Raw genomic sequence first — 25,832 nt, 5'->3', positions numbered from 1 at the left:
GAAGATTACAAAAGATTTAAAATATTTCTACTGGTCTTTATTATTGAATGACTACACCCTCTGAAAAGTATGAATTGAGCATTATGATTGCTCATAGGTAAAAGGTTAGCAGGCATTTAATATGTGCTAGGTATTTTCTTGTGTATTCTCTCATTTGAGTCTTATAATAATCTCATAAAGAATGTGCTGCTATTCACTGTTTATCTGGAACTAAGACTGAGAAAGACTGTGGCTTGCATAAAGTGACACAGCTTCTAAGAAGCCAGTTCAAGATTTGAACCCTCATCTGATGATCAGTTTGTTTTTTCTTTCCCCATTTTCTGAAGCTGGTTCATTCTCTTAAGAACTGTAAGGAGAAAAATGATAGAAGGCAGAATATCTTTGAACTAATGAAATCATCGCATGAGCAGAGAAGCAGAGTGGGCATCCTGTGGATTTAGGGGAGGGAGGGGGTGGTAAAGCCTCTGAACCTGTCACTGGACTTGGAGGTGTGATTCATGACTTCAGGATAGTGGCTATGCTGAGAGACCTTGGTGTCTGACAGCAACGTCCTGCTATTGTAAGCTATGGATTTACTGTCATGCTAAGAAATAAATCATGACCAGGAAAGGCTGTATGTTTAGGTGCTGCTGATGCCTGTAGGCCCTCTCCAAACAGGAGAATGGCTCTCAGTGGATGAATTGTCTCAGCTTCCTCTGAGTTGTAATTTCTATGTGGGTCAAAGGGTTATTTTTAGCCTGTGGGATCCCTAGCTCTTTGAGGAGTGGCCTCGCTTACAAGGTCAGTGGAGTGGGATGATGGTCGGGATTTTTTTTTTTTCCCAGACGGAGTCTTGCTCTGTCACCCAGGCTGGAATACAGTGGCGCGATCTCAGCTCACTGCAACCCCTGCCTCTCGAGTTCAAGTGATTCTCCTGCCTCAGCCTCCTAGGTAGCTGGGATTACAGGCGCATGCCACCATGCCTGGGTAATTTTTGTATTCTTAGTAGAGACACGGTTTCACCATGTTGGCCAGGCTGGTCTTGAACTCTTAACCTCATGATCCACCTGCCTCGGCCTCCCAAAGTGTTGGGATTACAGGCATGAACCACCACACCTGGCGATGATCAGGATTTAAGGATTGTTTCTGAGCTCTTCCTGGACCCTGTGTTTTAGGTCCCCCAAAGAAGGTGTGAACAGCCTTTTGGAATCTGTTTTACTCTGGCAAAATAATCTGTGTCCATAGATTGCAGGAGGATGCTGTTGGTGTTATAATAATGCTCTCACATTTAAAAATAAGTTATCAAGTGTATTTGAGGAAGAAAACTAAGAAAATCTGGAAAAAACCCCACCATCAACAAAAGACATGCAAAACTCTAAAACTTGTAATAGGATAAATGATGTTCTTGTAATGAATGTGTCAGCATTTTAACACATGTGTGCTCAGTGTGTGGTGATGCAGGATGTGTATAACAGAAAGCACAAACGTGGTCTGTGTTTACATTAAATCTCCCACCTCCAAGACACACACACAAAAGGTCCCACTTGAGTATGTGTAATTACATCTCTGAATACTCCCTTGATCCTATTTTTTTCCTTTTCCCTAAACACATATTTTGGTTACTTCTCCAAAGATACATGATATATATTAGCCTCACTCAGAACCACAGGGAACATACTCAATTGAATCACACCTCTATGAGTAGTGTATAAAGTGTAACATTTTAAAACACCAGGGACCAGGGCTGGCAAGGTCCACGGGGAATCCTGAAGGCTGGTTTCCAGCCACAACTGTGCTGGAATGAAAATAGAAAACAATGAGGCATGTGCAGAGTCAGCTTTTCTTTGTGTCACAGCTCAGCAGTTTTTCTGCTGTCCTAAACTTTCCTAAAAAAAAAAAAAAAAAAAAAAAAAAAAAAAAAAAAAAAAAAAGGCTGGGGCTAAGGGGAAATGGTGCAGTTGCAGTTGAAATTTTTTTTTAATAGTAAAGACTGAAAATATAAACTAACAGCTGGTGCTGTAGGAACATGTGAAATGAAGAGTGAATTAATGGTGAGAAATCTCACTGCTCTTTGCTTGGCTGTGAGGACACGCGTAGGAAGGACTTGTGGAAACTTGTTTGGTAAAATAGAAAAAAAAGGAAAAGAAAAAGCTAAGTAACCATCAAGCCTTTTTCAGGAGTGGGGGAAAAATAAAAATTTATATACTCTAAACTTAAAGCTTTATTTATGATCATTATTTTAAATATCTGTAAATGCATCTGTAAAAAACTCCAGCCAAGACAGAGGGAGATGTGAATTATCAAGTATATTGACTTTTTTTTTTTTTTTCTGTTATCAGTAGCATCCTTCAGAAAGTACTGATTAAAAAGGAAGGCCATTCCCAGTTCTTGGTTTATTTGCCTCATAGCGCACCAAGTCAAGGTTGAGCTGGGGCCTTATTCCAGAAAGCACAGGCTTCCTTTCTGATTGGAAATAATATGTATTTTGTTTGACCTTCAGAATACTCATGGCTTTACTGGAATACATGGGCCAACATTTGTCCTGGCAAGGCCAGGGCAGTTTAAGATAGGTATCCACAGGGATTGCTTTATAGAGCAATTAAAAGCAGTGGGAGGGAGGTGACTGCAGAAATTCAGACGTTTGCATCCTTTCTGGCCTAAAAATCAAGTGAGTAATTTCAAAAAGCAGAATTTGAAAACAAACAAACAAGCACTTCTAGAAGTTTCTGTCTGAACACTTGAGAATTTTGCCAAGGTCATAGTGTTCTTTATTTTTTCTTTTTCCTTACATGTTACTTTCTGAAATATGATCATAGTGTTCTTTTGCAACTGATCTTGGTGTGAAGAGGGGGTTACATCTTATATATTACACAGTGCTAATATGTGTAATATTAACATTTTTTTGAAAGATTGTCAAATATGGACCGTGGAAAACAGTTTCCATGCCGTTTGAACGTTATGTTCTTTATGATGCTTTGTTTATAAAAATATTGTTAGATAGCCAGGGATGTTTACTACTGCCAGCTGGAGTTAGGCCTCATGGTAGCTTTTTAAAGTCAGGCTGGAGGTGAATTCAAAGCCTAACACAGAGTTTCAAGTTATTGTTCTTATTTGAAGTAAATGCATAATTGGAGACTGTATTCTGATTTCTTGAATTCTTAGCTATGCCAGTAATTCTTGTTTCTTAGGGCCACAGTTTGGTTCTGTCAAATGTGTAGTTGTAGAGATGATAAATGAGTACTCAGAGATTAGATGAATTCATATATGGTGACATTAAGATGTTTTCTTTAATAAGAATACCTATTATATGGGAGTAAGTGAAAATAATCATGTCTTAATGTTGTTGAAATCCTGTATTCATTTGGGGGAAAAAAAGTAAGTACTTTGTATTCTGCTTATGTAAAGGGATATGAAAGAATGTATATAACTAAATTTCTTAATGCTTCATTTTGCTTTTGATGTGCAAAATATAACTTTACTGCTAGGTAAAATTATACTTGAATATTAACAGTTATTGCATGAGTTTAAAGTTTCAGTTGAGCCCAATATATGGGAACCACGCAGTTTCTAGTGATTTTCAAAATATAGTCCCATAAAGATGAAAGAGACTCAATAGCTGAAATAGGTGGTACACTTGATTTAAGTGAACATTTGCTAACCCAGGAAGAATCAGGAGCCATTCCAACACTGTAGCTGTGTACCATAGATACAAAATAATATGTTATCCAACTTAGTATGTATTTGCTTACTGCAGTTGAGAACGCAGGAGTGGTCAGTGAAGTGTAGGGATTAGGGAAAATAATTGAGAAAAATGAGGAGAAAGAAAGAAAAATAGATGTTTTGGTAATCTTTGTCAAATGTTTTCTCAAAGACCAGGCTCAGATTTAAAATATTATGCAGATGTAGTCTTTGGCCTCTGGTAGTTTCTGATAGGAATTCAGCCTTGAGTTGAACTTTGAGATGGGTTGTTTTCTTTTCGTTTTTTTCTTTTTTAATTACTAAGTGACCAATCTGTTGTAGTTTGTTGATCTATTTTTTCCTCTTGCCATCCTTCTGTTGCTTTCTCCATGAGCTGCTGTTTATTCTGGAATGTTGAACATCCACATTTAGAATTAGGATTTGTGTGGCTCTATCTTAACCAGGAATGGAAAAAATCCAACCCAGTCTTTCAATTCATGGGTTTAAGTGGATTCAGAGAGGTTCTCATCCACAGTGACAGGTTCAGAATTCCCACTTCTAAAGCCCCCGTTTCATTAGGTAATGAATATACAAGCTGAGCCCTTCCAGGTTCACACTGTGGAGGCTTCTCCACTCCTCTGTCTTGGTTGGCTTTCTTCCTTGGGGTGTTTGGGAAGAGTCTGATTACAGCCAACTTCTTTCCTTGTCAGTTGATTTTATAACACAAACCATTAAAGTTCAAACTTTTTGTTCAGCAGATTGATTTCATTTGTCTCTTCTATAGGGATCTCACTTAGAGTTTATAGAATTCTTTGCTATCCTTTACTTTAATTCATTTTGGCAAGGTATGTAGTATTAACTCCAGGTGAGGCAACCAAGAGAGGGGCCCTAAGTCAAGGAACTTGTTAATGGCAGAGATGAGCCTGGAACCCAGGCCTTCTAGGTCCAAATGTAGTGTTCTTTCCTCTGTGCTCCCAAGGTTCCCATTGTATCCTGTGGGCTTCTTTTTTGTAACGTAAAGTGGGTAGTGAGGAGAAAGGAGGTTCTTTTCTGTTGATCTTTCATATACTTATTGATGTTATCTTTATATTTTTATAGAACTTCCTGATTTAATTAAACACTTCTCAAATGCCATGATCTCATTTGTTTTCATGATGACCCTGAGGATTAGCTAGGACAGGACTATCCCTATTTTATTTTATTTTATTTTATTTTATTTTATTTTATTTTTAGATGGAGTCTTGCTCTGTCACCCAGGCTGGAGTGCAGTGGTGCGATCCCAGCTCACTGCAACCTCCGCCTCCCGGGTCCAAGTGATTCTCCTACCTCAGCCTCCCAAGTAGCCGGGATTACAGGCCCCCACAACCATGCTCGGCTAATTTTTGTATTTTTAGTAGAGTTGGGGTTCCACCATGTTGGCCAGGCTAGTCTTGAACTCCTGGCCTCAAGTGATCCACCTGCCTTGGCCTCCCAAAGTGTTGGGATTACAGGCGTGAGCCACTGTGCCTGGCCTCAAAAATGCCTGCTTTTATAAATTGCTCACAGTATAGTAGAGATTTTTACAGTTTGGAGGGTGTTGGAGGTTAATTTTGTTGAAGGAAGTAATTTCTCTAATGTGGAGGAGGTGGTAATTTAGAAGACTATGTTGTAGAACTGCAGCCGGGTATATGTTTACTTTTGTGAGCGCCTGTTTTATTTGCCCGTTTATTTATACCTATGCATTTTGATAGAAAAATAAATATAGTTCTGTTTTGGCTCCCTGAAATAGTTTTTATATTTTCTGGAATTTCCTCACTTATTGTCTTTAATATTCCTAAGTTTTATTATGACTCATTTTGGTCATACAATAGTAGAAGAAGTAGGTGTCGGCCTGTTTGAAGGGGTTTATTAAGTAATTTGGGGAAGTATATTTTTGAAGCCTATAAATATTAATTTGTCCCTGGTGTTGAGATTTGTCTTGTGGTTGTCAGTTGTGCATGTTCTTATATGTTTTGGATAGGGGAGAGTAAAAAGGGGTTGAGCATAGTTTATTTTTTTCTTTGGCTCAAATATGTAGTTTTACCATAAACCACGGAAAGTTTCCTGTTCTTGTTTGATTAAAAAAAAGTACACTTCCATTCATTGTTTCCATGTAACTTCCTATACTTTTTACTAAAAAAGGTTGAAATCTAGGATAAATTATGAGCTATCTCTCGGGCAAAGAAACGATTTCATTTCAGGAAGGAGCTTAGGAAGCGAACCTTCTTGAGTATGAGAAACAGTAATAGCCCTTGGCATGTATGTGTGTGTGTGTATATATACATACATATACATATACATATGCCTTTCCTTACATAATAATGATTTGCAAAGAGTGAATTTGGACCCCGACTTCTAATCAACATGGAAAGGCAGGGAAGATTCCATGTCATGGCTGGATTTTAGAAAGCTGCAAATGGTATTGTACCATAGAGCAGGGGTCCCCACCCCCAGGCCACGGACCTGTTAGGAACTGGGGCACACAGCAGGAGGTGAGCAGCGGGTGAGTGAGCATTACTGCCTAAGCTCCACCTCGTGTGAGATCAGCAGTGGCATTAGATTTTTATAGGAGTGTGAACCCTGTTGTGAACTGCGCATATGAAGGATCTAGGTTGCCTGCTCCTTATGAGAATCTCACGAATGCCTGATGACCTGAGGTGGAACAGTTCCATCCCAAAACCATCCTCTCCTCCTCGGTCTGTGGAAAAACTGTCTTCCATGAAACCAGTCCCTGGTGCCAAAAAGGTTGGGGACTGCTGCCATAGAGGGGCCTTTGGGTGGCCCCGTTAGGTGTTTTCTTTGTGAGGTGGTGCTTTCCAGCCTGCCCTGGACTCTGTGGTTCATGGTAGATCATTCGTACTGACCTGGACCAGGGAGCACTGGTAGGAGTATCTGATTTCTATGAACAGTGCTTGCTGGCACTGACTCAAGAAAGAAGACAGGAAGGAATGGTGAATACAACTTCCATTGAGAAACTAGAGTGGAAAAAATGTGCAAATTATGCTAAAATTGTAATTAATCTGGGCTGTACAGGTTGAATATCTCTTCATCCTGAAAGAAAAGGGGAGGTCACCATGAGAAAATGGGATTGAGGGACCATAAGAACTTTGTCATACCTAGTTATACATTTGTTTTTTTCTCTTAGAACTTCTGAAAAGCTTGAAGCCCCAGAAGCAATAGAATAGAGCTTTTAGCATGGTTTTGTTGTGAACTAAATTCCCAACAGTTCACCTTTAGTGCATAAGCTTAACTTTCTTTGATGGTTTGCCATTCAAATTAGATTACTGTGGACAGTGTCCCTAATATTGTCACTAATATTATGATACAGTATCAGTTTTACAGCAGGTTTGTGCATCATGAAGGAAGTCAGAACGTTTTAGTGAGTTACAAGGAAAATAGCCATCAAAAGTCCATATAGGTTACTCTGTGGATGGGTTGGGGAGCCATCTTCTGGTCTTCATCCAGACTTGATTGACTTAAAATTGAGTATATAAGAGTGTAAAAGATGGTAAGTGATAGGCTTGAGGCAGAGACACAGGCCTGCAGCCAGAACTGGAAAAAAACCCACAAGTATGAAAAGTATAGGCAAAACTATAAAGCAGCCAGGCACGGTAGCTCACACCTGTAATCCCAGAACTTTGGGAAGCAGAGATGGACAAATCACCTGAGGTCAGGAGTTTGAGACCAGCCTGGCCAACATGGTGAAACCCCATCTCTACTAAAACTACAAAAATTAGCTGGGCATGGTGGTGAGTACCTGTAATCCCAGCTACTCAGGAGGCTGAGGTAGGGAGAATTGCTTGAACCCGGGAGGCGGAGGTTGCAGTGAGCTGGGACGGTGCCATTGCACTCCAGCCTGGGCGACTGAGCGAGACTCCACCTCAAAAACGAAACCGAAAAAACTATAAAGCACAGAAATATGGGACCATTTGGTAGATATAGTAACTGAAATCACATCAAGTTTTAATAAACTAATTAGTATTCATAATGGCAGCCCTACATCTTCAAGAAAAATATACAATAAGCGAGTTTCAGGATGCTCAAAATATTTAAGATGGCCAAGAAGAAATTATGCATGTAGTACATTTTAGGCAGATTTTCCTTAAAACTGACTAAAGACACTTACTTTTTTGAAACAAGAAAAGACTTAGTTATTTGGATAATTTGCTTATGTGGAATATCTCATTGCCAGTCAATGTTGAATAAGTGAGGCATTTATTGTGTGGCGGAAAGGTGGTTCTTTGGGCCAGATGAAGTAAGGTGGGAAGAAAGGAATATGAAATACTGAGAGAAGGAATTACTACTTTAAATAATAGATGTAGCTTTGGTATGTTTTTCTGTGCAAATCTTGAGACAAAGCCCTTTTTGTTGGAGGAAATGGCATGCAAGGGATTTTATTTTCAGTTTGACCATTTGCAAGTATTAGAGCTGTCTCCATGGGAGAAAGGTGAGTTCCCTCTGGCAGTGTGGTTTACGAAGGTTTGCTTGGGAGGAAAAGAGAGGAGCTAGTTGATCCAGAGTGGAAAAACACCAAAGCAAAGTTTTCTCCAAAATAACACACACGGATTTCTGAAAAACAGCAGTTACTTTCACTGAATGTGACAAACTTCAAAAAAAAAAAAAAAGGGAAATCAGCTTTGAAACATCATATGACACATCTGTTTTGGAAGGTTGCTTTGTCAGATACAGATGTATGTTTTACAGTATGTTACTATGTAAAGTTTCGTCTTGAGCAAGCTCAATAGATGTTTTTCTGAACAGGTATCTCATTTATCCCAGTTTTAAATTTTTGGGGGAGAGTTTATTAAACAATAATAGTACAGTACTTTATCTTATTTTTAGGTTAAATACAATTTGATTGAATTATACCCTTCTCTCTTAGCCTTTTATTGAACTGATATCTCTGCTTAGATTTTATCCTTTCAGAAATTGCTTATTGACCCGACACAGCAAAATCCAAACTTTTTGATATATGTCATGGCATATATCATGCCAAGATCACAAACTCCATCACATGCTTTTAGCAAATAAATGCCAGTTTGCTTCTTGCTTTCATACCTACAATAATGCAAATTATTGGTTTAAAAAGTTAAAAATCACTGATTCTTGCTTTATTACAGGCCTCTTAAATTGAGACCTTGGAAAAGTATTTTCTTGCAAGAGCTGATGTTTCCTATTATTATTATTATTAATTTATTTTTTAAGACAAGGTCTCACTGTGTCACCCAGACTGGAGTGCAGTGGCACTATCTTGGCTCATTGCAGTCTTGACCTCCCTGGGCTCAAGGGATTCTCCCACCTCAGCCTCCTGAGTAGATGGGACTACAGGTGTGCACCACCATGCCTGGCTAATTTTTTAATCTTTTGTAGAGATGAGGTCTCACTCTCTTGCCCAGGCTGGTCTCAAACTTATGGGCTCAAACAATCCTCCCACCCTGGCCTCCCAAAGTGCTGGGATTACAGGTGTGAGCCACTGCACCTGCCTGTGATTTGTTTCCTTTTTATGATATCTATGTGAGCATCATATTTTCTTTTCATCCTGCCTGCTAGAAAGCGCAGAGCTAGGTTTGGCACTCAAATGATGTAGTTTCCTTTAGCTAAGTGCTTTGATGAAGTTTCTCTTTTGCATTTTTTTTTCCAGAACACATCTCATAGTTGAAGAGATGGTAATAATTACAGTAATACAATAATAAAAATGAGTTGATCCTAAGAACAGTCTTATGGGGCAGATCCTGTTATTATCCCCATTGTATAGATAAAGAAACAGAGGCAGGGAATGGCTAAGTAGCTGCCCCAGGTTAAAAGGCTAAAATGTGGCAGCGCTGGGATTAAACGTAGGAGACTGGCTCCATAGTCCTTAGAGAATTAGCAGCTTGGGAGTTTGGTTGTTTGGCACATGAATTCATCACTCAACAAATGTTTATGAACACGTGCCGCATGCCAGGCACTGTGTCAAGCACTGGGAGAGAGGAAGTAAAAGAAACACAGTCCTTGCCCTCATGGAGTTTCTGGTAAGTAGAGGACACACAAACATATGCCCAAATAAATGAAGCAATAGATTTATAAAAGCTTATATTTGCTATAAAGGAGTAACAGGTGTAACAGTTTAAGGGACCTCTGAATTTTATCAGGTGCAATACAAAAGTGTAGTTCTGGGCCAGGCACGGTGGCTCATGCCTGTAATCTCAGCACTTTGGGAGGCCAAGGCAGGTGGATTGCTTGAGCTCATGAGTTTGAGACCAGCCTGGGCAACATGACAAAACCCCGTCTCTACAAAAAATATAAGACATGAGCTGGTGTGGTGGCACACACCTGTAGTCTCAGCTATTCGGGAGGCCGAGGTGGGAGGATGGCTTGAGCCTGGAAGGTAGAGGTTGCAGTGAGCCCAGATCGCACCATGGTACTCCAGCCTGGGCAACAAAGCCAGACCTTGTCCCCGTCCACTTACCCCCAAAAAACTGTGGTTCTGAACCACAGCAACTGAGCCGAGCACAATCCTTCTGTCTCTCTAAGACCCAGTCTACACTGAGTAGTTCTGTTGATGGCACTGCTTGATGGGCCTGTAACTGCCACAAGCTCTGGAAAAACCAGGTCCACAGCTTCTCAGAGCCTTTTAGCTTCACTGTGAAAGGAGCAAGAGCACACCAGTGACCAGGTGTTCATAATTTCTCTGCAAATGTCAGCTCTCAGTTTCCCTCCTAACAGAAGCACCTGAAGCAGCAGGCTAGCTAGCCTGAAGAGGAAGGAATAGAGTTTAGTCTTATAATTGGGACCTATATATTAAGCTGAATAATTTGGCATTCAGTGTTAAGCATTTGACTCATTCCTGTAACCAATTGTGAGTGCCCTGATTATGTATAAACTCCTTAAAGTAAATGTGTTTTAGTTCGTGGCCCAGTGTGTACACATGGCTGTAATTAACAATATTTTGCACAGCCAAACCAAAAGTTTGCAGATTTTCCTTTTTTAATCCATGGTCTCCTATCTGCAATCAGGACCAGTGGTTATAGGCGATGATTCAACTCCCCAGCAGTTGTGGTTTCCCCCTTCTGCCCTTCCTGACCCTCTTACAGTTTCTCATCTTGCCACTTGTCTCTGCTTCAGACTCTGCACCCCAGACCCTGGCCACCAGCCCTAACAGAATGCTCACCAGGCCCAGAGCATGCCACATGCAATGCATGTTATTCCTCCGTGCTTTTGCACACATTCTTACCTCTCTTTCTCCCATCTTTTTCTTTCTTGCTAGACACCAGTTTGCAAATGATAAAAAAGAGAAAATTAGTGATCATCTTAGGTACAAATCAAGGTCTGAGAGATGAACAGATTTGGTAATGTCATCCCTCAGGGTTAATGAGGTGTAGCTTTGTAGCTCTGCAAGTCTTACTTTGCCATCAGATATTGCATTAGTAGGAATTAAGTTGTAATTTTTTTATGGGATAAAGTTCAGTTTAATATTTTGAATCTAAGTCGATAAAGCATTTGCATTTTAATAAAGAAGTGTACTATCCTTCAGTTATTTTGTATCTGCCAAATTCATAGGGTAGGAGAAAAAAGATCTTATTTTCTCCCATCCTTCAAACCTTCAGATTTGTTCTTGGTCTCTGTTCTGAGCCAATTAGGCAGTAACATCCCATAAATTCTTATCCCCTCCAAAATGAATGCTGTAGCCAGTGTCTCCTTCTGTTTAAGCTTCCTTCTTGTGAGAAGAATAGGGACAGGTGCACCATATTATTGGTCAAAAGTAAATCAGTGCTCGGTGTGGTGACTCACTTCCAGTACTCTGGGAGGCTGAGGCAGAGGCAGGTGGATCACCTGAGGCCAAGGGTTTGAGACCAGCCTGGCCAACATGGTGAAACCCCATCTCTACTAAAAATACAAAAATTAGCCGGGTGTGGTGGTGCATGCCTGTAATTCCAGCTACTTGGGAGGCTGAGGGAGGAGAATCACTCGAACCCAGGAGGCGGAATTTGCAGTGAGTTGAGATTGCGCCACTGTGCTCCAGCCTGGGCGACAGAGTGAGACTGTGTCTCCAAAAACAAAACAAAACAAAATACCAAACAAAGTAAATCAGAAGAACTGTTGGCCAAGATGATGCCAACTGATTGTCTTTATGGATTGATGGAATTCCCTGGAGGCAGAAACATGGCCTGTTCTCGCCTTTGGGAGTTGTACTTCCAGAATGTGCTCAGAGAACAGGAATTTTTACTCTAATACTGTGCATAGTTTAATTTAATTAAAAAAATTTTTTTAAAGAGATGGGGGTCTGGTTATTTTGCCCAGGCTGGTCTTGAAGTCCTGGCCTCAAGCACTCCTGCTTTGGCCTCCCATAGTGCTGGGATTACAGGCATGATTACAGGGAGTACATGCCCAGCTGTAGTTTTATTTTAAGTCTTTCCAGTGCAATTCATAGAAATAATTTCTGGGGAGTAATGCTAGGGAGTAGTATAAGAACATCTTATCTTAGATATTTTATTAATCATTCTAAAAGTTTTTAGAGAAAACAGTTTTTGATTGGAGAAAATGTTCTCATTCATTTATTTCTCTTCCCCTCAAGGGACTTTATGTCTCTAATAGTATTTGAAGTTTGTAAAGCGTTTTCACATATAGTGCATCATTTGATCTATAAGTCAAGCCTGTCATAGAATAAGAGATCATGGAATGCTTAAAACCCAGCTCCTGTATCTCCTGGTTCACTATTTCCCGGTGCTTCTGTAATACAAGGACACCTCTTGCTATGTCCAGTGGTGACTTCTGAGACATGCCACTGCTTCACTTCAGGTCATAAAAACCATGAAACATAACAGCACCACTTCCTCAGAGGGCTGCAGAAATCCCCCTCTGTTGGCACGTCCAGATTGTATAGTGGTATCTTGTTTAGATGGAAGAGTATGTGCCTTTTATAGCTTGGCACTTCCCAACACTTTGAGAATTTGGATTCCTAAAGAACCTGTGCCCTTTGTTTCCTTTTGAACATTTGAAAACACAATTGAATACAGGAAATTCTCCAACATGGTTGCTCCATGATTTCAACACAACAATACACAAATATGCACTGGCTTTTGGCCCAAAAAGTTGGTGGTTGACTTCTTGGAAGAGGGTTAGTTTGTTAGGAGGAAGGTTTGGATGTAGATTTTGCTTGGAGGGTGAAAGAAACCATGATAAGATATGCCTAAGAGTTGTGCTGTAGAAAAATCTAGTTTTTTTCCCCCTGAGAAATCCAAATTACAAGTTTTAGGACTTGTCTACCTTTTTCCTACTAGGGATAAGCTTCAGCCTGAAGCCAGGTTTTATTGTTGAAAAACCCAGGTAGGAGCTGTGGTAGAAGCGCCCTCTTTGGAGTTTAATGGTGGTACATTCCACCGCTCCATCCCCAAGGCGCTGTAGTTCCAATGAATTGTAATTTGAGATGGTACAAACATGAGCATATGTTATGTACACGTCAGGCGTGTTTGTGAGCTCAGGGCATTCCAGGTGTTTTTTTCTTGGAGCTTTGTTTTTGCGTCATATCCTGTGTTGGTAACATTCCTTCTCATGAAGCTCGATTGAAGTGAGGCAGTGCTATTGGCTGAGAAATCATCCTGGGTGCCCTTTCTTACAGATTCTTGCATCCCATGGGGGTAGAAAGGATTTTCAGCCCAAGGGCAGAATAGATCCTGTAGTACCCAGTCCCACAATCTGTGGGAGTTTGTCCCTCTTTGCAGCTGACAGCATTTCAGAATTCCCTGTGGGACAATAACAAAAACCTTATTAGCCAATGGTGTCATTAGAATAAAATCTCCCCACTGCGATGTCTTGGTCCCAGCCTATAATGTTACCCCTTAATTCCCTCTGCATCTTTACCACTTTTATTACAGCTGAACACACGCTCCTCATTAGAACCCTGGGTGATATGGGGAATCAGAGTGCTGAAAATTATGTGGAATAGGTACCAGATGTTTGTGTCAACTTGGTATGCATTGGTATTTAGAATGCTTGAGGATCACATTTATTAAATGTGAAAATTACTTACTATGTCTTCTCCAAAACATTACCCCCCCCGCCAGTATTTTTGTCCATGTTGCATGAGGTGTGATATTAGTAATTTCTTTTGGCACTGATTAAATTTAAAGTCTGTGCAGCAAATGCATCTGTTCCCAAATGCTTTGTCTGCGTTCTGTCGAGTTTTGGAGCTGGCCCACCGCCAGCAGGGATGTGGGGGTTCTGTAACTGAGATTGGAATGCTGTGTTGCAGCTAAAGGACATAATGAAAGGGTGAGTCCATTTGATTTTTTTCTTTAAGTGGAACTGGGAATTTAGACATTGATGTTATAGCGAGATCTTAGGAACGTTTCCCATGTGTCCAGATAAGCAAGCATTAGTGAAAAGGATGGAGGAGGGCATTTGGTAAAATGAGAAACGAGTTTCATTAAGTTCATGAAGTCTTTTAAGTCAACCAAAGGTGATACGTGTGAACCGAGCAGTTTATTTTATTTTAGTAGATATGAATGAATGTTTACATTTGGCCTATGCATCTGTTCACCCAGTCCTGAGGCGAGGAACTGGAAAGTACAAGGCAGAGGCAGGTGGTGCTCTGCCAGGGGAAAAGTCTGGAGCTGGAGTCTCAGAGACCCAGGTTCAAATCCCCTATTGCCACTTCCTGCTGATGTGTTTCTTAGCCTCTCATGAGCTCCAGTTTCCCATCACTCTAAAATGAGGGCATTAACACTGTCTTCACAGTGGTATTGTGAGAATCAGAAACATGTACAAGATGTGTGGCCCCTAGTGGTGTGGTAACCATACATATGAAGAGTTAACCCCCAGCTTCTCACACAAGGCAGCGGCCCAGGGAGCCACCATGTGCTTCACAGTGTGGCCTCAGGTGGCCCAGCTGCTGAGCACCCGAGCGGTGGGGGCCTGCTTTGTGAAGGAGGCTGGTTTGGCAGTGGCCTTGGCAGTGTGGCCGTGGTCTGGGCCACCTGGGGAGTTTCTCACCAGAGTTTATTTGAATTTGTGCTGTCTTCAGGTCAGTAAATATTTTTGTCAGTAGAAGTAGCATCTTGTGGGTGAAGGGGGCTGTGCCTCTGTGCTGGTGGCCGAGGAGAGTGTACCAAACAGAAGAGCAGAGCCTGACTTCAGTTCAAACAAGACACGACACCCGGCAAGATTTTGAGATCAGATTTCTCGAGTAAGCCAGCAGGGGAGGATTAAACTCAGCTCACACTTTGAGTCCAAGGAAAAGTTAGATTTCTTTGGGAGCTACCCTTAAGGAATCTTGTACTCGTCACATACCAGATGCCCAGAATGAACTGAAATATCCAGATTGGGAGGCACCAGTGAGGATTGTCTCTGGAGGTGAATCCATATGGACATTACTGCCAGGAAGCACTTTTCTGAAATACACATTCTACCTCTGTGTGGCTCACAACAGTTTACTTATAGTGGGTTATAGAGTTTCTGTGAGGCTTTGGATGAAGTATCTGCAACATGCCTTTTCATGATAGAGTATGGTGTGAAGTGAGCACGCGTGTGTGCTTATGAGCATTGTTGCTTTCAGGTGTGTTCTTTCGTCATCGTCCACGCCCTGGTTGATCCTTACGTGGTAACACAGCTTTTGCTGTGCTGCTGATAAGGAGCATCATCAGAGCATGTCACTCACTTGGCTCTTGACTGCAGGGAAGAGATTGCGTAGGGAAGACGGGATGTGGGTTTTCAGCCGTGGCCACAGGAGACACTCCCAGCCTTTTGAGGCTGCCGGTGAGGGCCTACAGTAGCAGCTCCAGAGCTCACAGGTCACCACAAAAGTGAGCAGATGAGTCAGATGGGGTTTCGGAGCATGTTTTCCTGGTTTCCAAGCCTTCGTGGCTGGGAGGTGCTATACTCGGGCCCCATGGTGGTCAAGTGAGAATCTGAGCCACTGTGTTAACTCAGGCACTTGTGCTAGAGCCTGTGGGGTGGATCATGCTGTTCCCAGGTGGAAGCCTTCCTGAATGGAGCTGGCCCTGGCATTGTGCAGACAGATTGCGGAAGGAACCACTATGAGGCCAAGGGGGAAGGATGGGAGACAGGTTCATGAGCTGGCTGTGGCAGAGGGAAAGGGACAGGAAGGCTAGGGCCTGACCCAGAAGTGGCAGGATGAGGCTGGGGCTGTGGTGTGCCAACGGAGAGATAGAGGATTGTCCTGCCACCTGGAGAGAGGGGATTGGCCAGAAGAGTGTCCGGGAAGAGAAGACAAAAACAGATTTGTGTTTCCTGCTTTCTGTGACAGTTGAAGGTGGGGAAGCCCCAACTGGGACTTGATTCTTAGCAACCAAAAATGCCACCTCCTTCATTTCATGGTTGGTGTTTTTTTTTTCTGCCCCTTTTAGTATAAGAGTGAGGCTTTGGCTCTCAGGTAAAGAGTGAAAGCAGGAAGTCTGAGACAGACAGTCCCTTATTGGCACAAAGCCCATGCAGCATGCATCACCCCATGGTTCTTCCCCATTTCTCAGCGATAATTGAGTGTCTGTTTTGTGCCAGATACTGTGCTGGGGTGAGGCAGGCAGCAGCAGACAGAGTGGTTGGGTTCTGTTCTTTCGTGGTGTTTGCAGTCTTTGGGAGCATGTAGATGTGAAACCAATAATTGCACAAATAATTATGTACATCTCATCACAGGAAGTGCTGTGGAGAGAAACGGAGAGTACCATGAGAGTATGAAAAAATACAGATCTAACACAGTGAGGGAGGTTTGGGGAGCTTCCTTGAGAGATCAGTAGAATGAGCAGGAGTTTGTCAGGCCATGGTGGTGGGAAGGAACAGAAACGGTGGGGAATGTGTTCCTGGAGGAAACCTTGCTATTCAGAGGCTCCTTTGGGACAAAGGTTGGCACTTCTGATGAAATAAAAGAAGGCAAGTACATTAATTAGGGTAGGTTAAGCTACAAATGTCAGAAAACCCAAAATAACATTGGCTTATATAAAAAAAAGAGTTTACATTTGTTTCCTATTAAAAAAAAAAAAGCAGTTCAGAGCTGATCCCGTGGCTCCATGTTCATCAAGTACCCAGGTGGCTTCTCAGTTGCTGTGCCCTCCTCAGCATGCTGCTTCTGTCTCATGGCCCCAAAGGCTTGCTCTAGTGCTGCCTGTTACATCCACATTCCAACCAGCAGTCAGAAGGAAATGGCAGAAGAACTGACCTCCTTCCCTTCATACAGGAAGCTGCCAGCTGCTAGCGGGATTGGGAAACATAGCTTTCGTTCTGGGTGGCTGTGTGTCCAGCTGGCACTTGAAGAAAGGAGAATGATGGCTATAGGGAGACAGTGAGCACTTCTGTGCTTCACCAGAATGGCCAAAACACGGGAGCAAGTGTCCGAGGAATGAGAGACGGGGCCGTGGCAGGAAGCAGGGCCAGATCTTGGAGGGCCTTGTAAGTCACGTTGAGGTTTTGGGGCTTCATCTGGACAGCAGAGATGGAGTGATAAGTCTTTTAAAGCAGAGAAAAGCAGGATCAGACTTGGGTTTTTCAGATCAGTTTGGCTGCTCTATAGAAGACATTTTGGTGGAGATAAGAATTAAGAGCATCTTGCAGTAATCAGGGAACGAGAGACGATGGTGCCCATGGAGATGGAGAGGAGGGGTCAGAGTTGAGTGGCCAGAGAGAGAATCCATTGGGTGAGGAGAGGGAAGGGGTGATGTTGGGGCACCTCCCCCAGGTTGGTGCCAGGTGTACGTAGGAAGAGGCTGGTGCCATTTACTTAGGGAGGGAATGAAGGAGGAACAACAGGCACGAGGGGTAAAGATCCTGAGTTCTGCATGTTGAGATTGGGTGTCCATGAGACAAAAGTAGATGGTGAAGGAGCTGTTGAATATTCAGGCCTGGAGCTTAGAAAAAGAAGTATGGGCCAGGCATGGTGGCTCACGCCTGTAATCCCAGCACTTCAGGAGGCCAACGCAGGTGGATCACATGAGGCCAGGAGTTCGAGACCAGCCTGGCCAATATGATGAAACCCCATCTCTATTGAAAATACAAAAATTAGCTGGGTGTGATGGCGGGCGCCTGTAATCCTAGCTACCTGGGAGGCTGAGGCACGAGAATCGCTTGAACCTGGGGAGTGGAGGCTGCAGTGAGCTGAGAGCGCGTCACTGCCCTCTCGCCTGGACGACAGAGCGAGACTGTCTCAAAAAAAAAAAGAAAAAGAAAAAAAAGGAGAAATAAGTAAGTCTGAGATGGCCTGGAGTCATTTCTGTAAAGAGATGAGAGTTGAACCCATGGATGTGTTTGAGAAAATCTATGGAAAAAGGATAGTGCACTCCAGGAAGGCCTGGCAGGCATTTTACCTGGAAGGCGGCGATGGAACAGCTGGTGGCAGAAGAGCGTCTCTCCAAGATATTCAAAGGAAAACTTCATACAATCACACTGCCTCTTTCCTTTCTTGGCCAGAGAGGCTTGTTTTTTACCCAAAGGAAACCCTCTCCCCTGATTCCTACACTGTGTCTGTTCTCTTAGGAGAGGACTACTCTACCCCATACTTAGAGTTTAACCTACGTCCTTTAGCCTGGGTGTTTTCACAGGGACTTTTTGTCCCCTCCCTTAAGTCTTAATTTTTTTCACTTGTACATTCTGTACCCCTTGCAAACTTATCCAGTTATGTTTTTCAGGATAAAATTCCTAGCGGGAAGTTGCTGGGTCAAAGGATGTGTACCTTTTGTGGGGCCTTGGATACCACTGAAAAATTATACCAATTTGCTCTCTCAGCAGCAGTGTGATGCTGGCACACTTTTTGAGGAAGGTTTCTTAAGGCATTTCTGGGCTTAATTTTTTTTATAAGCATTGCCTCCCTCTCCCAACTTTTCTTTAATGAAAAGTTTCAACATGTAGAGATGTTGAAACCATTGTACAGGGAACATTTAGATTCCACAATTAGCATTTTGCAATAGTTGCTTTATCAAATATCTCTCCATCTGTCAATCCATCTTATTTTTTGGGAGGTATTTCAAAGTAAGTTACAAAACGGTAGATCTCACCCCTAAATCTATGACCACTTTTTTATTTTCACAGAAAGTGTTGGCACAGTAGCCCAGGCATTGGGCTGGATGTTCACCGTACAATGCTTGGTCACCCTTTCCCTCTCCTCACCCAGTGGATTCTCTCCCTGGCCACTTAACTCTGTCCCCTTCTCTCCATCTCCACGGGCACCATCATCTCTCTTGCCCTGATTACTGCAAGGCCGGGCACTTCAGGACCCTGCCTCCTGAGAGAGAGAGCCGCAAGGAGGGCCAAGTCTGAAGCTTTGGGTGACTGGGGCAACCTTGAAACAGTTACTTAAGCACATTGAGCTTACTTTGCTTTCTTTAAAATGGGGTTAGTGCTGCTTCCTTGCAATGTGTCAGAAGGATATGCAGCACCTAGCATTGCATAGTGGGCACTTAATAAATGGGAGCAGTCTCTCTCTCTCTCTCTTTTTTTTTTTTTTTTTGAGACAGAGTTTTGCTCTTGTCGCCCAGGCTGGAGTGCAATGGCGCGATCTTGGCTCACTGCAACCTCCGCCTCCCGGGTTCAAGCGATTCTTCTGCCTCAGCCTCCTGAGTACTAGGATTACAGGTACACGCCACCAAGCCCAGCTAATTTTTGTATTTTTAGTAGACACGGGGTTTACCATGTTGGCTAGGCTGGTCTTGAACTCCTGACCTCAGGTGATCCACCCGCTTCGGCCTCCTGAAGTGCTGGGATTACCGGCATGAGCCACCGCACTGGGCCGAGCAGTGTCTCTTATTACGTTGTATGCTGAACTGTTAAAGATACCATTTCTTATATGACCCTGGGGATGGTGGTAGATAATTCCTGATTTTTTTTTTTTGTCTTTTTGGTGTAAGGATAGTTTAATCATATGTTGTAGCTTTTTTTCTTTTTCAATCTTGGAGGGAAAAAAATTCTATGAGGAACTTCGAAAACCAAATACTACTCTATTGTGTCAGATGGTCAGGAACACACTGTTGAGTGTATTTAAACGTCAAGCCAAGTAAGTCTCTGTATTTTTATTTTTATTTTCTGAGATAGGGTCTCACTCTGTCACCCAGGCTGGAGTACAATAGTGTGATCACGGCTTACTGCAGCCTGGACTTCCCTGGGCTTAGGTGATTCTCCCACCTTTGCCTCCCAAGTAGCTGGGACTACAGGTGTGCACCACCACAACTGCTTTTATATACACACACACACACACACACACACATATACACATATATATACATATATGCATGCATATATGTATATATATGCGTGAGTGTGTGTGTGTGTGTGTGTGTGTATATATATATATATTTTTTTTTTTTTTGTAGAGATGGGGTTTCATCATATTGCACAGGTTGCTTTTGTACTCCTGGGCTCAAGCGATCCACCTGCCTTGGCCTTCCAAAGTGTTGGTGTTACAGGCATGAGCCATTGCACCTGGCCTCCAGTGGGTCTCTGTAAAGAGTCGCTGTCCTGTCACTTCATCAGGGTGTGCCCCATGCATTGCTTTCTCTTTTCTTTGACCTTGGACTGACTCATATAACCAACCCGTGGCTAGAGCTCTAGCCCTTAAAGAGGGTGTTTGCCCTGTTCTGGACTCTGGCAAAACAGAGAGCATAGACTCTAAGGCAAGAAGTGCACATCTTCAGCACTGAAGGCTTCCTGGCACTAGTTCCCTCCCTCTTTGGGAGTACCTTATTATTTGATTTGTTTCCATTGAGTTTTTGCCCCTGCCCCAGTGTGGAGGTGAGCAGTATGGTGATTTAAGGAAGATCTTAATGGGTGATGGTGGCATCATGCAGAGGAGGGCAGATCAAATAGATTGCAGGCCTTTTTGCAGATGTGTTTTCAGCCTGTTCAGAGCTTTGCACACATACAAGAATGGAACTGAAAGGCATTTTTATTTGTGCTTAATTTGTGATAATTGTAAATTCATGGCAGGAGGCTCTGCAACCAGTTCAGAAGGGTTTCCCAGTGTGGGTAGCTGTAGCCAGTGTGTGTCCCCAGAATTGAGTAGGAGTAGGATAATTTCTTGAAGCTCTGGGTGTGAAGTATACCAGACATCCCACTGCGGCTGGGAAAGCCGGAGGCCAGGAGGGCAGGATGAGGGCAGCAGAGGGAGCACCTGCCCATATGGTTTCCCCGCACCCCGCCAGGGGCTCCAGGGAATTTACAGTCAGTACCTCCTGTTGTTGCTCTCGGGACATCTTCCTTCACCACCTTATGCTTTCTCAGAAAGCAGCTGGCCACAGTCCAGAGAGTGGCAGTGACTATTTGAGAAGGCACATACTTCATTTCAGACCAGATAGCTATTATCAGCCTAGATAATTTCTGTAAGTCCTGAAATAGACTTGGCCCACCAGGCAGGGTGTCTGCTTCTGGGTGCAGACTGGCTGGTTCTGAACTTTGTTTGCAACCCTGGAGGGTACCTTTATTATTTAGAAGTCAGGAAGAACAAACTGGAGTACATTCAGGCCTTTTTCGTGGGTTCTATCTGGGAGGTTGTGGTGTAGTGGGCACTGTTTCAGCCCAGTTTCCTGGGTGATTGAATGGAGACAATAGCACCAAGCTCACAGAAGTGTGTGAGGAGTAAGCATCCAGTTCCTTCTTCCCCTGGGTATGTCTCTATCAATCCAGCCAATGTGAAAGGAGGCTGCAGTGATGTCAGGGCTGTAGCAGCCTATTTCCCTTATTCCCTACAGCCAAATCCAAGTCCCTGGAATGGTGCCCTACTCACTGATCTGAGAGGGGGCAATTTTTTTTAAGCTCAATGATTCATTTATACATTTAACAAACGTTTTTTGAGCATCTCATATATGCCAGGCACTGCAGATGAATGCTGAGGATACAAAGATGAGTACCCACAGCCCTCAGAGAGGTCACATTCGACCAATAAAGATGGATGTGTACACCAGTGGCTATCATGTAAATGCAGTAGTGGAGACAGGCAGATGGATTGCGGGAGGGCAGAGAAAGAGAGCCTTCCTCAGCTTGAGATGTTTGTTGTGGGGGCGGAGTGAGAGTGGAAGAGGAATTTGGGTAAAGGAAGCAGGCTTGAATGAGGACATGGAGTTGGGAAACATCCTGGTGTGTCTGGAGACCTTTAAATAAGTTGACGTGGAGTGGGGAGGGATGAGACATAGGAAGGGGCTAGATCAAGAAGGGCCTCCTGTGCTCTGTGGTGGAGCTCAGGCTTTATTTGGTAGGGCAGCTATTCTGAAGGGACAGGAACTTCCCACAGAGATGCCAACGGCAGGCATTTGCTTTGGGAACACCCGTAACATTGAGTGCCTCTAGGTTAGGTGGACAGTGCCTGTGTGGAAGGTGGCATGCAGAGCTTGAGTCCTCAGACTCCGTTCAGGAAGGTTTGTAATTGTCTAGGGTTGGTAAAGAAGTAGAGATGGAGAGGAGTGGATGGATTTAGGATTTAAGGCTTGACTGATTAGAGGAAGAGGGAATGAAGAAGCAGGAACCAAGTATGACCAGCACTCTACTTTTTCTATTTGAGGCTCTGCTCAGATCCTACTTCTTTTGGGAGGATTTTTCTGACCTCTGGCCCAAATTTTGCTGTACAGCTCTGGCCCTGATCGCCTCTACATGTTACATCTTGCTCTGTATTGTTCTTAAGTTTGTTTTGCTTTCCCTAATAAAGGGAAGCTCTGAAAAGATAGGATCTGTATCTTATACTTTTGTTAAGTGCAATTTTAGGTATTTAATATTATTTATGTATAGTATTATTGGGACTTTAAGCAATTTATTTTATCTCTGATTTTCTACCAAGAGGGAAGAAGGAATTAAACACAAATGTTAAATGGGAAGTGTCTTCTACCCAGAGGAATGCATTCATGACTTGTGAGTCCAAAAGGGAATTTAAAAAATCAAATACATACCAAATTATCCAAAAGAAATTTAAGAGATTGGGATTTTAGAAGATAGGCTAGCTTTTTGGCCACTTAGTCTTGGAACAGTTTACCTGGAAAGGCATCTCTGGTGGGTTGGCAGTGGTTTGATCACCCTTGCCCCTTTGGGGCAGAATTAATTGCTGTTTCTGAGTGGCTTGTGTTTGTGATTCCCTTGGCAGGTCCAGAGCCTGGTGCACTGTGTGAACTGTCACCTGTCAGTGCCTCCCATCCTGTCCAGGCCTTGATGGAGAGCTTCACTGTTTTGTCAGGCTGTGCCAGCAGAGGCACAACTGGGCTGCCACAGGAGGTGCATGTCCTGAATCTCCGCACTGCAGGCCAGGGGCCTGGCCAGCTACAGAGAGAGGTAGGTGCAGGTGTCAGCTCTCAGCCCACTGCCACTGAGTCTGCAGAGATGATTTTCTGGACAGAAGTCCTTTTCTTCTCTTCTGGGGTTCAACAAAAGAAGCTCATGTATGAACATAAGAGAACAGATTTAAAATACCAGCTGCTGTCTGGATTGGGCAACTTTAGGATTTCTCTGTCTAGAGATTGGTTGGCTCTCCCCATTTCCTGGCCCTCCGTATTGGAAAAAAACGTTCATAAGAATTTCAACTTTTAGGCCAGGCATGGTGATGGTGCACACCTGTAATCTCAGCACTTTGAGAGGCCAAGGTGGGAGGATCGCATGAGCTCAGGAGTTCAAGACCAGCCTGGGAAACATAGCAAGACCTCATCTCTACTAAAAATAAAACTAAAAAAAAAAAAAATTAGCAGGGTGTGGTAGTTAGCACATGTAGTCCCAGCTACTTGGGAGGCTGAAGCAAGAGGATTGCTTGAGCCTGGGAAATCGAGGCTGGAGTGAGCCGTGATTGCCATTGCACTCCAGCCTGGGAGATAGAGCAGAACCCTGTTTCAAAAATAATAATAATAATTTCATCTTTTAAACATGATTGTGAGAAACCAAATAAGGTACCGTTTTCTCTGTTGTTGTGAAATGTCTTTCCCATTTCCTCCTGTGTCCTCTGTCTTCTTTCTTTACTTTGTCATATGAACTTATTGCTTCTGCAGGATGAGTGAGGGGAAATGGGAACACTCTGGAATAAAGATGGCGGTACTTTGTACTTGCCTGAAAATCCCTGAGCATAGCTCCTTATCACTATCTAGGCAGCTTCCCAAAGGTGGCGGTGACATTAGCGGAGATGGTGATGATAAAGATATATGCTCATAGTTACTCAGCATTTACTCTGCCAAACACTGTTCGAAGCACTCATACAGTAACTCCATGAATCCTACAATTATACTCATTTTACAGGTGACAAAACAGGTGCAGAAAACTTATTTGCGCAAGGTCATCATCTTCAGAGAGAAATGGCGTCCTCTTTCCTGTGGCTCAAAAATGGCCTAGATTGTGGGTGAATGGTCATCATTTAAGAGTACAGATTTCCCAACAAGATAACACAGAGTATTCTGTTTTTAAGCTTCTGTGTGTCAGAAATGTTATCACTCAGGTATTCGCTCTCCAGGGAGAGAGAAACCACAAAAAATCCTGATCATAGTGAAGTATAGGAAAAGTAATGCAGAATGGAATTTATCTTTGAGCTTTCTTCTGGTCAAGAAAGTTAATTTCCAGAGCCACTTGTTTATGTGCCTCAGCCACCCCATCCTTTTGGGGTGGTAGGAAGAGGAGAAGCACGAGATGTTAAGGAAAAGCAAGCTGATTTTAATCTCATGAACGTGTGCAGAGTTGGCTCATTTCAAAGACAGATCATCTAACCTTTCCAGCAACATTGGAAATTATTGTTAATACTCTTGGTTGCTTGCCATTGTTGCTGCAACTCATATTTCAGGTCAGATTTCTTTATCCCAGTAATGTGCCTTTAATTCTGAACTGATGGGGGAGAGTTTGTGGTGAGAGGGAAAGGAGGAGAGGAGGAAATGCAGCTCCTATGAAGCGTTGCTGACTCCAGCAATTCTTTAGCAGCGACAATTACTCATTTTATATATGCTTCTCTCAGAGGAACTCAGAGGGAAAAGAAAGTCCAAGCTGTTACAGAAGCAGCAACAGCAGAAAATTCTTGACGTTAAATTGTGCAGTACTGTTGTTGACTCTGAAAACAAATTCGAGTAAGACTACTGAAACAAGAGAAAAATACCTCGAGGAGTGACAGCAGAGCTCTCCTGCACTTGGTTACTATGTTATTCAAAATGGGATTCATTTTAGGACCTGGCAGTACTGAGGATACATAACATTAGCTGGCATCAGGGACATAGTGTGTTCAGTGAGGAAGAAAAGAAAGAGGGCCTACAAAGGGTAGTCTCAAACTTGTTTAAAAACCTGAACATTATTCTCTTTCGATATTAGTATAGTATATGTATGATTTTGGGCCAGTGATTTGAAGATGTTTCTGAGAATAGACAACAGACGGACCTTTAAGAATTAGATGGTTGTAGTTCAATACTGTTTGAAAACAAGATTTTGGGATAACTGATTTTTGGAGATTCCATCTGGCTCTGCGTTGCTCACATACGGCAGATCTCAGAGTAGTTTGCATATACAAAGTGAGCATAGAGGATAACATCAGAATGAGGGTCAGGACGAGAGAATGAAAGATTGTTTGTGGTTGGTAAGATGGGTGTGTATAAGGATTAAATATCGCTCACTCTTTTGACATATGACTATGGAGAACATTCCCGCAGCTATGCAAACAGTTTTTAAAAATCATTTGAACCACATGACCCAGCAATTCCACTCTTAGGTATATACCCGAGAGAAGTGAAAACACATGTCCACACAAAGACTTGTCTGTGACTGTTCATGGCAGCATTAGTCCAAAAGTGGAAAAACCCAAATTTTCATCTTCTGATGAATGGGTAAATAAAATATGGTATATCCATACAATGGAGTGTTACTGAGCAGTAAAAAGGATGGCATACTGATAGGTGCTACAGCATGGATGAACCTTGAAAATCCACTAAATGAAAAAAGACAGACACAAAGACCACATATCATATGATTCCATGTATGTGAAATGTTCAGGATACAGAAATTTATAGAGACAAAGTAAATTAGTCATTGCTTAGGGCTAGAGGGGAAAGAAGGAAATGGAGGTTGACTGCTAAACGTTACATGTTTTTTTAAAAAAGTGGAGGCCGGGCGAGGTGGCTCACACCTGTAATCCCAACACTTTGGGAGGCCGAGGCAGGTGGATCACCTGAGGTCAGGAGTTTGAGACTAGCCTAGCCAACATGGTGAAACCCCTTCTCTACTAAAAATACAAAAATTAGCTGGCATGG

General features: G+C 42.8%; 1 protein-coding gene across 11 annotated transcripts in view, besides 3 other annotated features; it reads left to right on the top strand.

Annotated features, from left to right (window-relative positions):
- TGFBR3 (transforming growth factor beta receptor 3) overlaps positions 1 to 25,832 on the top strand; it is a 225,660-nt gene that overhangs the window by 85,814 nt on the left and 114,014 nt on the right. For 10 of the 11 annotated variants that reach the window (NM_001195684.1, XM_047429247.1, XM_047429256.1 and 7 more), the window contains one exon: positions 22,718 to 22,902. In NM_001195684.1, coding sequence (NP_001182613.1) covers positions 22,718 to 22,902 — 185 coding nt within the window. Of the gene's footprint in view, positions 1 to 19,133; positions 19,231 to 22,717; positions 22,903 to 25,832 lie in introns of all 11 variants that reach the window. The other variant, NR_036634.2, reaches the window with a different exon arrangement.
- Positions 10,528 to 10,637: an enhancer, noted in NCBI's record as "active region_1309". NCBI's record gives its function as "activates an Ori minimal core promoter by ATAC-STARR-seq in GM12878 lymphoblastoid cells {active_cell/tissue: GM12878}" and the evidence as "EXISTENCE:reporter gene assay evidence [ECO:0000049][PMID:35858748]".
- Positions 16,154 to 16,423: an enhancer, noted in NCBI's record as "active region_1308". NCBI's record gives its function as "activates an Ori minimal core promoter by ATAC-STARR-seq in GM12878 lymphoblastoid cells {active_cell/tissue: GM12878}" and the evidence as "EXISTENCE:reporter gene assay evidence [ECO:0000049][PMID:35858748]".
- Positions 23,623 to 23,917: a silencer, noted in NCBI's record as "tiled region #12731; HepG2 Repressive non-DNase unmatched - State 15:Elon, and K562 Repressive DNase matched - State 7:EnhWF". NCBI's record gives its function as "represses a minimal TATA promoter and a strong SV40 promoter by Sharpr-MPRA in HepG2 and K562 cells {active_cell/tissue: HepG2 | K562}" and the evidence as "EXISTENCE:reporter gene assay evidence [ECO:0000049][PMID:27701403]".

The sequence above is a fragment of the Homo sapiens genome, chromosome 1 (genome assembly GCF_000001405.40).
Source record: "Homo sapiens chromosome 1, GRCh38.p14 Primary Assembly".
Classification (NCBI taxonomy): domain Eukaryota; kingdom Metazoa; phylum Chordata; class Mammalia; order Primates; family Hominidae; genus Homo; species Homo sapiens.
Note: the sequence above shows the minus strand (reverse complement) of the source record. Positions and strands in the feature narration are given on the sequence as shown.